The 15,484-nt window shown below is 34.7% G+C and overlaps 1 protein-coding gene across 4 annotated transcripts in view; it reads right to left on the reverse strand.

Moving 5' to 3' along the window:
- The window catches only part of VWDE (von Willebrand factor D and EGF domains), a 72,981-nt gene that overhangs the window by 15,411 nt on the left and 42,086 nt on the right, over positions 1–15,484 (reverse strand). For 3 of the 4 annotated variants that reach the window (NM_001346973.2, NM_001346972.2, NM_001135924.3), the window contains 6 exons: positions 15,071–15,226; positions 14,852–14,956; positions 13,283–13,397; positions 10,970–11,220; positions 9,816–10,035; positions 5,278–5,418 (listed from right to left, as the gene is read on the reverse strand). In NM_001346973.2, coding sequence (NP_001333902.1) covers positions 5,278–5,418; positions 9,816–10,035; positions 10,970–11,220; positions 13,283–13,397; positions 14,852–14,956; positions 15,071–15,226 — 988 coding nt within the window. Of the gene's footprint in view, positions 1–5,277; positions 5,419–7,519; positions 8,193–9,815; positions 10,036–10,969; positions 11,221–13,282; positions 13,398–14,851; positions 14,957–15,070; positions 15,227–15,484 lie in introns of all 4 variants that reach the window. The other variant, NR_144534.2, reaches the window with a different exon arrangement.

Below are 15,484 nucleotides of genomic sequence, written 5' to 3' on the forward strand. Positions count from 1 at the left end.
TGCCTGAGCAATTTAGAATATTGTCAAGGATAGAGACATGTGAGCCATTCACTATGAAACAATCATTGAGAACTACTACAAGAGTGATAAATATAAAATGAAACCTACAGAAACACAGAAGAGTAAGTAATTTTCCCTATAAAGAAGACAGGAACTAAATGTATAAGCAAAAATTGGGAAATTATATAAATGCTATTTTATATGAGAGGCAAAGAACCACAGGTCTAATAATTTTACAAATGTGATAAAATCAGATTTTATGTCCCCATCTTTCTTGACTGCTCAGCTAGAAATTAAAACATTTTTACACATCTTTTTGGCGGGGGCGGGGGGGATCATTATTTATTTCACCTGCCAAAATACTTCATTTCCTTATTGCACTTTTTTACTTCTTTGGTATGGAAAAATCTAACGGGTTTTAGAGTATGAACACATTTTAAGCAGTGATTAGATACGTTTTTCTTGTTATGCTTTCTATTGCAAATTTAGGATTTGATTTTGCACTGTCTTCATGCAAAGCTCTTCTCAAAGGTCTTAAAATATAAAAAACACTTAATGCTTCTCAAAGCATTAAGATTTTATGTAAATCAAACCAAAACCAGAAAAAGACAGAAGAAAATGAACCAAAAACAACAAAAATAATCCTTAACATAGTTGGCAACAAGTGCAATGAAAGATTTTTGAAAAATGTGAGGACTTCGTGAAACATAAAAAGCATATGGGTTCAGACTAATAGAAACAAGAGTGCACCAAATATAGCCCCAAACATAAATAAGGGCAGTGAGGTAAGCACAGTTGTGTCAAAAAATACAGCAAAAGTGCCCTGGACTAGCAGTCCCCAGAAGAACTGCTTTAGATGATCTGGGCCAAGTCAGTGTCCCATTCCCTCAGCCTCTGTACACAGAAGGGACTCCTTCCAGAACCAAATTGTTTTAAGTGAACCTTCTCCTTAGGAGAGTTTTTATTGTCAGAATTGGAGAAAGAAGCAGAGAAGAACTGAAACTCCAGATTACAAAAATTACCATTAAAGAAAGTAAGAAAAGAGCATATGTTAGCAAATGTATGTTAGTAAAGCACATTTTTTCTTTTGAAATGTAATGATTCAATGTTCCTATGAAGGTATATATCAGAGATATCATAAAAATTACAAAATACAAGAATCATGAGAAGATATTGGCCTTACAGATACTAAAATGTAGTATAAAGCCACACTAATCAAAAACAATGTATTATTGGCATAAAAAAGACTATTAGAAAATAATAACATAACAGAAAGCTCAGAAATATATCTCAACATATAAGGGACTTTAAATAAAATATATGATATTTAATCGTGAAAATGGCCATACTGCCCAAGGTAATTTATAGATTCAATGCCATCCCCATCAAGCTACCAACGACTTTCTTCACAGAATTGGAAAAAACTACTTTAAAGTTCATATGGAACCAAAAAAGAGCCCACATCGCCAAGTCAATCCTAAGCCAAAAGAACAAAGCTGGAGGCATCACACTACCTGACTTCAAACTATACTACAAGGCTACAGTAACCAAAACAGCATGGCACTGGTACCAAAACAGAGATATAGATCAATAGAACAGAACAGAACCCTCAGAAATAACGCCGCGTATCTACAACTATCTGATCTTTGACAAACCTGACAAAAACAAGCAATGGGGAAAGGATTCCCTACTTAATAAATGGTGCTGGGAAAACTGGCTAGCCATATGTGGAAAGCTGAAACTGGATCCCTTCCTTACACCTTATACAAAAATCAATTCAAGATGGATTGAAGACTTAAACGTTAGACCTAAAACCATAAAAACCCTAGAAGAAAACCTAGGCAATACCATTCAGGACACAGGCATGGGCAAGGACTTCATGTCTAAAACACCAAAAGCAATGGCAACACAAAGCCAAAATTGACAAATGGGATCTAATTAAACTAAAGAGCTTCTGCACAGCAAAAGAAACTACCATCAGAGTGAACAGGCAACCTACAAAATGGGAGAAAATTTTTGCAACCTATTCATCTGACAAAGGGCTAATATCCAGAATCTACAATGAACTCAAACAAATTTACAAGAAAAAAACAAACAACCCCATCAAAAAGTGGTTGAAGGACATGAACAGACACTTCTCAAAAGAAGACATTTATGCAGCCAAAAAATACATGAAAAAATGCTCATCATCACTGGCCATCAGAGAAATGCAAATCAAAACCACAGTGAGATACCATCTCACACCAGTTAGAATGGCAATCATTAAAAAGTCAGGAAACAACAGGTACTGGAGAGGATGTGGAGAAATAGGAACACTTTTATATTGTTGGTGGGACTGTAAACTAGTTCAACCATTGTGGAAGTCAGTGTGGCGATTCCTCAGGGATCTAGAACTAGAAATACCATTTGACCCAGCCATCCCATTACTGGGTATATACCCAAAGGACTATAAATCAGGCTGCTATAAAGACACATGCACATGTATGTTTATTGTGGCATTATTCACAATAGCAAAGACTTGGAACCAACCCAAATGTCCAACAACGATAGACTGGATTAAGAAAATGTGGCACATATACACCATGGAATACTATGCAGCCATAAAAAATGATGAGTTCATGTCCTTTGTAGGGACATGGATGAAACTGGAAATCATCATTCTCAGTAAACTATCGCAAGAACAAAAAACCAAACACCACATATTCTCACTCATAGGTGGGAACTGAACAATGAGAACACATGGACACAAGAAGGGGAACATTACACTCTGGGGCCTGTTGTGCGGTGCGGGGAGAGGGGAGGGATAGCATTGGGAGATATACTTAATGCTAGATGACGAGTTAGTGGGTGCAGCGCACCAGCATGGCACATGTATACATATGTAACTAACCTACACATTGTGCACATGTACCCTAAAACTTAAAGTATAATAATCATAATAATAAATAAATAAATAAATAAATAAAATATATGATATTTAAATTCAATGTGACTTATCTTATAAATGATACTACATAATTGCCATTCATCTGGAAGAAAAAAAGTATTGGACCTCTTCTTCATATAATAAAATAACAAATTTCAAATGAATTAAAAACTAAATGTAAAATATAAAATAATAAATGTTCTAAAAGAGACTATGAGTTCATATTTATAATTTAAACTTTGAGAGATCCTTAAAGAGAAGCTATAAATAAAAGATTTAAAAATATATTTATTTGATTACATAAAATCTTAATGCTTTCATATAAAAAGACAACACAGATAAAGGCAAACCACAGAGATAAACACAATAATTTAAGTACCTATTATGTATAGGATCAGAATATATGAAGTGGCCAGAATATATAAAGTACTCCTACAAATCAATAAAAAAGGCAAGCAAAAGGATATCAATTAGCACAAAAACAAATCTAAATGATTATTTGAAAAAAGAAACCCAAATAAATAGATAACCTTTGGCAACTTCTATCTAGGAAAAATCAAAAACCATAACAGTGGAAAGATACAACTAAACAACTTTGGAGATGAGAAAAGTAAAATAGCTATACATAAGAAGACAATTTTAAATTATACAAGAATACTACATGTAATTGTATACAAGAATTTGAAATCTAAATGTGACAAATGATTTTCTGGCAAAATAAAAATGATGAAATTGACTCAAGAGGAGGCACAAACATTGATGGAAATAGAAAAACAATCTAAAATTACTCCCCAAAATAATGCTAGGACAGACAATCTAATGAAAAATTTTACCAAATAATTAAGGAAAGGGTATTTTCAAAACTGCTGCAATGCACAAAAAGAGATGAAAAGTATTATAAATGTTTTATTAAAGTGGCATAATCATATAGTCAATATATTTGTGACATATAAAAATTTAAATGAAATACTAGCAAATCAAAGGTAGCAGTGCATTTATGGAAAAATATATCAGGATTAGACTTGTACCTATTAATATAATTATATAATTGCATAAACACATAATATGGAAAATATAAAATAATGTTGAAATATAATATGCATTAATTACTGATTTTAAATATTGTGAGAAAATTAGTCTAAGGAAACTTTGTTAACTACAATTATAGCAAGTAATAAATGATGCTGAAAAAGCGTTTGATAAATAACATTTAAAACCCACTCCCAATTTAAAACTAGGAATTCTGAAAAAGCAACTAATAAAAGGAAAATTCATCAATTGGATAAATGGTATCTAGCAGAAACTGCAGTGATATCATAGTGAAACATGAGAAGAATTCCCATACCATTAACAAAGCTCTCCCTTCACTACAGGCTTTGTACTAGAGGTACACTACACTACAATGAGAGCGTAAGTTTGAGACCCTGGTCTCTTCAGTTAGATTGCTCAGGCTCAACTCTCTCTCCTGTAATTTAAAACTCCATAATCTGAACACATTACTTAAGCCTTCTATGTTTCTGTTTAATGATCTGTAAAATAGAAGTAATAACAGTTACTGTAAATAGCTATTATGAGGATTGAATGAGGTAAGATACAAAAAATGTCTGCCTAGTGCCGGCACATTATAAGTATAAATTAAATCTCACTATTAAGACAAGAAAGTAAATAAGAATAGCAGACAAAACCCCCTATTTGCAAAAAACAATTATTGTCTGCCTGTAAAATCAAGAAAGAGAATCCACTATAAACCGTAGTGTACATCAGAGTATTCAGTAAGGTGACAACACCGGAACAATAAGAAAGTCAAGACACATTTCCTATGTTCCAGGAATCAAAAATGTCTTGAGAGATATCCCATTCACAATAACAGTTGATGTTACAGAATGCAGAGGCATAAAGAAAGCCAATGTGAAATGTACAAGAACTTTATGAAGACAATCACAGAATGATTAAACCAAATGAGGGCTATTAAGAAAGCACTATGACACAGGAAAGGCCTTGTGAAATAGTGAACTTCTTATCACATTTAGGGTTTGAGCAGATACTGGATGACCAGTTTCCAGGGATTTATAAAATATAAGTTTGAAATAGTCCCTTCCAACCATAAGCTTCTCCGAAATCACTTTAAATGATGCTTTGTTCATTAGAGGACATAAACGCATTTTTTCTAAAATATAAGCCAGATGATTGAATAGATTAGCAAGAGAAAGGATAAATTTTAAACCGCATCATATAACCTTTAGGTGATCTTTCTAAAAATAAAAATACCTGAGGAATAAATATGTTGGTCTTCTAGAAAACAAGTAAGAGGAATTACTTGTCATTAGATTTTAACTATGACCATTACTTACTGAAGGCATTTCCACTTGTTGGCTTAACATGCCTCTTTCTCCCTTGGGCATTTTTATCATCCTCTTCTTTATTTACACTTTTATCAGATCTTGTGAGAACCACAGTTTGTGTAGTAAATTGATTTACAAACTGTGTTTCAACTGTAAATGAGAACAAGGAAAACAGATTAGACTTAAACTATTAGACAACCAAAGCACCACAAATAAGAATATACAATACAAACGCCACTTGGATTAAACTCTGCAAATTAGACTGAATAACTCACTTAAATGTCATCTCTTCTGCACACTTTTCTGGTATGGACTGAATTGTGTTCCCCTAAAATTCATATGTTAAATCCCTACTCCTACATGTGAACATGTTTGGAGACAGGGTCTTTAAGGGGGTAAATAAGATAAAATGAGATCATAAGAGTGGCACCCTAATCCAATAGGACTGGTGTGCTCACGAAAACAGGAAGAGATACCACACATGCAGGGAAGACCTGGTGAGAACATAGCCAGTCTGCAAACCAGAGATATCTCACCACAAACCAACCCTACTCGCACCTTAATCTTGAACTTTCAGCATTCAGAACTGTGAGAAAATAAATTTCTGTTGTTTATGCCCCTCAATCTGTTATAGCAGCCCAAGCTAACGTACCTTCCTTCAGTTGAATTCACCCACCCGATCAATTTTGCCCATTTGGGTTCTCCCACAGAACTTTGCCCTTCATGCTATTGATTCTTATGTGCCCCACTAGTTAGCAATAACCTCAAGAATAACTGTGCTTTATTCATGTTGCTATCCATTGACTCTGGTACCTATCATAAAACTAAGAAAACACCACCAACAACCAAAAGTCCTTTTGTATTAATAAGCCCCTTCCTACAATACACAAATGACTCTGACAATGTTAAGAAACATATTTAGTCACTCATGTGTAAGGGGATTTGGTTCAACTTGTTTTTCTCTTAAATGCCACTGAATGAAGTTTTTATTGAAGAAATGGGTCTGTTTGGGAAAGAAAACGGCTAGATCACTTATTACAATGGAAGGTGTGAATATTAGGGATGGGATATTCAGGAGTAAATGTGAGAAGCAGAAGTAGAGAATTCCCCTTACCATCCTATACTGTGTTGCTCATATCTGTGGGGCTGGGCAGGCTCAGCCCAATTTGAAGCACAAGATGCTGCTGCTTCCTTAGTACATAATTGTCATCAAAAAGGGTCCCATTCACTTAATTAAACCAAAGGTATGGATCTTCAACACTGTCTTCTATAACTTAGTTTTTTCTCTTTTAATCTTTTAAAATGTTGATGCCCACCAATTTTTTTTGTCCATTTTCCTCTAAATCTAAGGGTTTTCCTGGACAATTCTATGACATAGCTGATTATTCTAAGATTTATATTTTCAACTTAATCCTCCTTTCTGAGCTTACATGGATATTCCATAGTAACCCTAGTTTCTGTGCATCCAAACTGAATTCATTATAATTCCCCTCCAAAAAAACTTGTTCTTCCATTACGTTGCTTGTGTGTCTTAGTCAGCTTGAGCTGCCATAACAGAATACCACAGACTGCGGGGCTTAAACAACAGAAATTATCTTGCCATTCTGGAGGCTCAATGATCCAAGACCAAAGTGATCAAACTAGCTGACTGAGTTTTTGGTGAGGGCTCTCTTCCTGGCTTGAAGACGGCCACTTTCTTGCTCTGTCTATACATCACAAGCTCTCTGGTGTCTCTTCATATAAGGATACTAATTCTGTGGGATCAGGGCTCCACCCTTATAACCTCATTTAACCTTAATTACTTCCTTTCTCCAAATATAGCCACACTGGGAGTTAGGGCTTCAACATATAAATTTTGGGGGGACGCAGTTCTATCCACAGCAATGCAAATGCAAATTCTACACACCCATTCACTAAAATCAAACACTTAAAACTTAATGAATCTCTTTCTCTCATCATGCTAAAACCAATCACTGGCCAAGTACAATCAACTTGCTTCTTTATTATCCCTTTCATCATTACCTCATCTTCATCTTAGGTTAATATATCTTCATCTTTTTTCCTATATATTTGAAGTATTTTCTTAACTCTTCTTCCCACCTTCAGATTTACACAGTTCCCTACCCACAAGTGGTCCATCCTACACACTGCTCCTTAAACTATCTCACATGTAAACTGTATTGTCTTTCTCTCCCACTTCAAAATTTTAAGAGAGTCTCCATGGTTTTTATGTGGTCTTGCTACTGCTTACCTCTCTAGCTCCAACTCTTGTAGCAGCTCCCCTTTCTTCCTATATTCCAGGCACACTGAACTATTCACAGTGGCTGGCTGCCCAAGGAGTGCTGTGATGTTGCCTGCTTCTGTCCCTTTGCTCCTGCTGTTGGTTTTGCCTGGAATGCCTTTCTCTCTCTTGATCTATCAGATTCAGTTCTCATGTGTCTAGTATAGTCTAGTCGCTTCCTTTTTTAAAACTTTTTCATTATTTCTCCAGGTAGATAAGATTCCCTGTGTAGTATTCCTACTAGCCCTTTTGTGATTTCTATCAAAAGACACAGAACACTTTATTATACTCTGTAATTACTAGTCATATTCCCTGCTGTTACACTCTACCTATTAAGTCAGAAAACATGTCTTATATATTTTTGCATCCTTTGTATCTAGTTCAATGCATGACACTTAATGCATTTACACTAAATAAATACATGAGTCAAAAACAGAAACTATGCTATTAAAAAATAATTAACTGCAGCAAAAAAAATCTCATAGCAGAAAATAGAAACTTTTACCATGGCATATTTTTCCATCCCCATAAAATCCTTCTGGACATGAACCACAATGATAGGAACCAAAGGTATTCAGGCATGCTACTCCCTCAAAGCAAGGCTTGGAGTCACACTCATCAACATCTTCCTGGCAATTTTTGCCTGTATAAAATATAGATCAAGAGCTCAGATTATTTAATTTGAAAAACATCGTATGTCCAATTGTCTTATTATATAACTTCTACTTTTTATGTCTGTCCTTCTAACCCCAAAAGAGCTGCTATGCATTATGAGGACAGAAGTATGCTGTTTTTAAAACTTACTGTATAATCAAATATAAAGTCACTAATTACATTCAATTTAATATTAAACCAGACCTTTCAAGTACATACGATTTTGTTTTTGTAAATAAGATGAGTTAAGAACTCCATTAATAGTTAAGGCAAAAAGCTTCATATTACAGCAGTAATTTGAACTTTGTTTAAAAAGTCAGTAATTTTTAAAAGTTATTTAGGATGGTTGTCTGTTTAGCTTAAGGACAAATTGTTTAGTCTAGTTATAAAAATTCATGAAAGTTGTTTGTGTTAGGAAAGTCAGTCCGTCCTTAATCAAAGTTTTTGAGTTGATGTGGTGCTCTTTGAAATGCTTAACAACTCATCTGAACGAGTAAATTCAGTCATACGTGGATGGTAGCCTTTATTATACTAAAATTTATGAGGCAATCAACATTTGAATTCTTTCAAATAGAGTCTACAGTGAAGTAGAAAAGAGATCTACATTCATAGTTCCCAATGATAAAATTTTTGTTTTAAAATGCTGAAGAGGTCAGACCTGTAATCCCAGTACTTCGGGAGGCTGAGATGGGCGGATCACGAGGTCAGGAGATTGAGACCATGCTGGCCAACATGGTGAAACCCCATCTCTACTAAAAATACAAAAAAATTAGCCGGGCTGGTGGCGGGCGCCTGTAGTCCCAGCCACTCGGGAGGCTGAGGCAAGAGAATGGCGTGAACCCAGGAGGCGGAGCTTGCAGTGAGCTGAGACGGCGCCACTGCACTCCAGCCTGGGCGACAGAGTGAAACTCCGTCTCAAAAAAAAAAAAAAGTGCTGAAGAAAATTAGAAGACACATAAATATTCTGCTCAGTTCTACTGTATTGTTAAAATGGGTATCTTCAAGAAAAATATCAGCTCATTAACTATATATTTACTTATTTAATATTTACATCTATTAAATGTACAGAAAATATTCATATGAGTTTTTAAAAAGCTGCGGGAAATTAAAGGTTGGCAGTCATATATTTATTTCCGTAATCACACATTTTAGGGCAATTAATGAGTTAGTAAATATGCTAACATTTCATTTGATTTCAACTTCTTACCATGATATTTCTAAGTCAACGAATTATCAGTAAAACCTCTCTTAAGTGATAACTTTTGTATTTTCTCTGGCATAATTCCTTTATTTTTCCATATTATATCTTAATAGTAATACATTTTAATACACTTCTCCCTACCAAATACAGGTAGGAATGTTTAGGAACCTGCAAAACAGGTTCCTACATTGCTATAACAGTTATAAAAATTGGCAAAAATGTAATAGTGCATGGAACTTGCAATTTACAAAAACAAGGGATATGGATAGTAATTATATTTGTAATAACTTTTATTAAAATTGTAAAGATGTGTACTAAAATCTTTAGGACCACACATTTGCTTAAGTAATCTGTAGATATGTGTTTCAAGGAGCTTTTCTTTCTAATTTGTTATGAGGAGCAAAATCTTACCTTTGAGCTCAGGTGGACAATCACAGGAATAACTGTGAAAACCACTAATATAGCTGCCAAGACCACAAGGGTTGGATTGGCACCCACTAATGTCCACTTCACAAAGGCTGCCATGGAAGCCAGGCAAGCAGACACACAGGTACACTCCACTCCCTGGAGAAAAGTTCCTATCAGATACACATGATCCACCATTCAAGCAATCACAAGACTTCACAGTCACCTACAAAACAAAAAAAAAGGAAATGTCTTATTTTTCAATAAAATTATCTTCAGTTTATGCCCCAGAAATCATGACAGTCATGTATGTTTATGTACAAGTATGACCAAATCACTTATATTTGATATATATACACACACACACAAATGTAATATAAAATTGTATTAAAAATAGTTTAATAAGGCAATTACGCCCACTCCCAGGTGCATAACCACAATATAATACTAAGGATAACTTTTCTAAAAAAAAAGTTACAAGATGATCAATTTCTGTCATGCAAGTAGAACAACTTAAAAAATCATTAAAGTGGAAAGCAGTTAATCACCTGGGTTATTCACAAATCTAGAGAGCAAATGATCTCCCGAATTACTGGGTTAATATGGCATAGAACGCAGCTGCTCTTACAATATTACTTCAGTGTAAAAGCGTGTTCCAAGTTTCAAATGAGCAAAGGACATATAAAGGGTTTCTAAGTATTAAGTGCTCATGACTGACATAATCAAAAGAAAAGTCAATAAAGAAAGGAATTATAGTTGCCAATTATTTATCTCAAGTTGTATTTATAATCTTGATTTCTAATTCAACATCTCAGGTCCTTTCACTTGATGGAAGAGGGTATAATTATCAATCTTAGATTAATCACACATCTTTCATGAAGGTGGAGCTGAAGGAGTTCTTTATTCTTGTCATAGTGAAGTGCCAAATAAAACAGTATAGAAATTATTAATTTAGATCTGTGCTTCTAGGCTTGAGACTCTCTCTAAGGTTTTAAATTCTTACAAAGAATAGTCAAAGTTTCGGCAGTTTAATTTTCCATACAATGTTTAATAACTTTGTTGCTCTTTACAACTAGCAATATGGCTTGTATTTTAAATTCAAATAAAGTTGTTAAAATTGCAAAAGAATCCAGTGGCACTTATGTAATTATAAAGATTACCTCAATCGTGACTCTAGTTTCAGCATCGCAGTCATCATTAAGGCGTACAGTAATTTGTTGGGTAGTTAGTAAATCTGTTTTCCACATAAAAAGCCCTGCAGAGGAAACACTTGCCCCTTCAGGACCAGAGTCCAACGTAAAATGGATGTCAGAACCTTCTGGATCGAAGGCCACGAACTGATACTCAAAGTTTTCACCATAAAATGTCTGTAATTTGTCTTGCAATGCTTGAATCACTGGGGGCTGGTTGTCTGTAATAGAGAAAACACTTAACTTTATACCCGTGTAGAAAAAGGAATGAAGTGTACTTCTGAGAGCTCCCACAGAGATATGCATTTTGATAAAGACTGAACTCTGCTAAAAGGTCTATTAGCTGCTTTCATTTTTTTTTTTAACATTCTGAGTAAGTTCAATTCCATTCTTAGACACATGAAAGTAACTGACAGGTGCAAGACCTCAGGCATTATTATGAAAGTATGAAATCACTTTGGATACAGCACAGAATATATAAATACCCATGCACTGGCCACACTGGATGCTGCACCTCTTCTGTCTTACTTCTTGGTGTTGACTGCCTCACTACTCTCTCTCTCTCTGGCTGTGGATCCTTTGCACTCTGTTTCTTTAAGCCTCACTTTCTCCCTCTACTCCCTTTCTCTATTCCTCCCTCACTGCCCATGACTGCTCCGTTTCTTTGGCTCCTTTGAACGTTTCTCGCTGTACTTGCCTCCCCAGCTATAATACGTGGAAGCCATTAGTCATACTCATCTTCTGATCCTCAGAGGTTCTTCCAGTGGCTGAGTGCACACACTAAAAAAGAGGCTATTTCAGGATGGGCATGGTGGCTCACACCTGTAATCCCAGTACTTTGGGAAGCCAAGGCAGGAGGATCACTTGAGGTCAGGAGTTCCAGACCAGCCTGGCCAACATGGTGAAACCCTGTCTCTACTAAAAATAAAAATTAGCAGGCATGGTGGTGGGTACCTGTAATTCCAGCTACTTGGGAGGCTGAAGCAGGAGAATTGCTTGAACCCGGGAGGTGGAGCTTGCAGTGAGCTGAGATCGTGCCACTGCGCTCCAGCCTGGGAGACAGAATGAGATTCTGTCTCAAAAAATAAAAGGTGGGGGGGGCTATTTTAGAGGACAGGCAGAGTTCCCTTTACACTCATGAAACAACTGAAAATCTCTTTTTATATTGTCTTATATTAAAAAATGTCTACCTTTCCAGCCCACTGGCTTAACAGTTGGAACAAATAGCCCCATTACATTGTACTGAGCACAAAAATTCTGCTTGCATCCACAAAGCACTAATGCCCCGAGATTGTAGCTCTGACTCCTGTTCTGCCCCTGCATATCCTTACACAAGCAGCCTAACTTATTGATCTTAATTTCCTCATCCTCAATATGAGAGATTTAAAAGACATGACATTTTTATGACCCTTTATGACTTTGAACACTATGAGACTATAATGAATCAATCAGTCAAACTATAGCCATTGACAAAACAGAGGCACCAATTCAGAAGTTGTATTGTATTTTCATCTCTTGCACTACATTTTTCCTCAAATTTCCATTGTCTTCCCACAGCATTCCATGAGTCTTAAACCTAAGCAGTGAATCATCTGGCAAATGTAATGAAACACAGTAATGAAATATGCACATACAATTATAATGATATTACACAGCATTGTATAAATATAAAGCTGTATGACTTCCTTAAATAAAATTACATGGGGCCAGGGAATAATTGTGTCCTATTGTCTCTAATAATGTCTCATCTCCCTGTGAGGGAAGAGAATTTGGACACCTATATGGAACCAACATAGCTCTATTTATGAAAGTGAGGAAGTTATATGGTACATGACTATAATTTGGGGTATTGTTTGAAACAAAGTATCTCAAAATTATCTGTACCCAATATTATACTCATGACATCACACAACAGTAGTACTGGAAGGCACTTTATAGATTACTGAGTCCAGATACCTTGTTTAACAAGTGCTGAATCCATGGCCTTTGAGCTTAAATGGTTAATAACTTCAGAAAACTGAACAGAGGTAAGGCTAAGCATAGGAAATTGTGTGTAGCTGAGTTAATAATTCTCATTTCTTCCATTAATAAATCACAAATCCTTTCCTAATCAAATATTAAAATAAATATCCTATACCCTCAACGTAAATTTTGCAGTTAGGAGAGATGCTAAATTAAACACAGAGGTCATTCATCTTAAACACATTTACGTAACTTCTGGCTGAAAACCACTTTTAAAATGTCTTGTATAGGAAATATTTGGATTAATAAAGAGTAACTTACTTTCTAAAAATGACCAAGTAAATCTTGAAATTTTGGGTCTACAAATCAAACAAGGGCTGGTTGGATTTTTGTCTCCTTCAACATAGCAGAGTCCATCAATAATGCAAACATTTTCCTAATGGAAAATTTTTAAAAAAGAAAACATCAAAGTACAGCGTGTAGAAAAAAAAAAGTACATAGAAGGATGGCAGTGTATGTATTGATGATTCCAACGAAAGCACATACATCTATTTTGATACTTCATAATCGTAAGTGCATATGAGGAAACAAATTACCTGAATACGTAAATGTCTACAAAACTGATCAATTTGGAGGTAATAAAAGTACACATAAGTTTTATCTTTACAAAGTTATAGCTTATAATTTATAAATAACATGGGAGAAAATCTCTCTTTTGGTATTTTTCACTGCTAAACTCATCCTAGGAGTGCTTTATTCATAAAGAAATAAAACCAACTTCTTTTTTTTCCTCCACAATTTATAAAATCACATTAGGTTATAGCTATTTTCCATTTCCCTAGCAGCCCACTGTGTTCTGTGAACACAGCCAACTAGACCAGATCTTTGGCATAATTATATCCACACTTGATAATGGATATCATTACACCAAACATTTGAAAGAGATGCTGATAAGCACAGAAAGAACATTAAATGTAGAAAGTATTCTTAGGGAGAGAATTGAATGTTATTCAGGAAATATAAACTTAGCTCATTTTACAAAATCTCCTTTAATATCACTTGGAAAATTGCACAAAAGTTAGAGCAAAATAGCTCCAGGAGGAGAAAACAATCTTGAATAATAATATTTTTAAAGTACTTATGAATATATGGAAATGGAATATTTGGGAAAAATAAAAATCAAACAATCTCTCAAAACCAGAGATTTGATCTGATGACTAATCTCAAGAAAATAAATTTTAAACTTAGAAAAAATAATACTTTAAAATTTTCATGTACATAAATATTATTTGTATGCACCTCAGCTTTGAGGAGTCAAGTGTCTCTTAAGTCAGCAGTTCACATGTGAGACAGCCCTTCTGATAAATACGGAAGGCTGGATATAGACTAAGAAGAAGTTGTGACTTCACCTCAGCTCAGGCTGCACTGCTGTTCTGTAATCCATCAAGTGGCAGGTATTTACATGCTCCAATAAAATTAGTTGCCAGGAAATACTCCCCATAAAAATACTAACTTTATACATTTTACAAATTTTAACCAAATGTATGTCACTTGATGCAAAGAAGAGTAGGTAACGTAAGATCTCTTATTGGAAAGTCATTATTACTACTGAAAAAACAATGTAGGTAGGAGTGAAGTAGTAAATAATTTAGTCTGGACTTCCTCTTACAATTTTTTAGAAGTAATCTGCCATTTCAAAATGTTAAAGGTAGGAACCTCTTCGTTGCAGGCAGAGTAACAATTTCAGTTAACTTATATAAACTTGAGGAAGGCTTTTCTCTATTAGTTTTTCTGGTATAAAAGTGAAAAAACTACAATTAATGTGCCCACAGCATAGGAAATGAAAATACCTATGATGTAAATGTGAAAATACATGAAAAAAATACATACCTTTATAGTACATGAGTCATTTTTATAGAGACCACAAACTTGGCAAGCACCATCATATATGACCGTTATTTTGGGATTACTGAATTTATAACCATCATTAGATACCTGTAACATAATAGTTCTATAATAAGATGATTTGTTCTAAATGTTCTAAATTCATTATGAAATGTTAAGTATTTACTTTGTTTATAAATATGAAGATGTCTTTTTATTTTTTACCTTCAACTGCCACTTCCCAGTTGGTTTCCCACCCACCAGATCCATGGTATCAAACTGCTGAACATCAGTGGGCAGCTGACAATCAACAGCTCTGCTATTGTGGAAAACAGTCTGTGTATAGATGGGTTCTCCAGGCATCCATTCACTGCTATTATACTGAAGACATAGTGAGAAAAAAATTAACCTCTGTTAAATTATGGAAATATTTTGTTAGTAAATTACATATAATGAAAACATAAATTTTAAAATATATGCCTAGTATAATGTAATATATAACAGGGAAACAAAAGTCACATTGGGAGTGAGTTTTATTCAGAATAACGAAAAACATATATATGTTAATATGATGCAAATTGCTCCCAATGAATCATGCATTTCTTGGCGGTTCAAATCAAAGAAGTTACCAATATTGGT

The sequence above is a fragment of the Homo sapiens genome, chromosome 7 (genome assembly GCF_000001405.40).
Source record: "Homo sapiens chromosome 7, GRCh38.p14 Primary Assembly".
Lineage (NCBI taxonomy): Eukaryota > Metazoa > Chordata > Mammalia > Primates > Hominidae > Homo > Homo sapiens.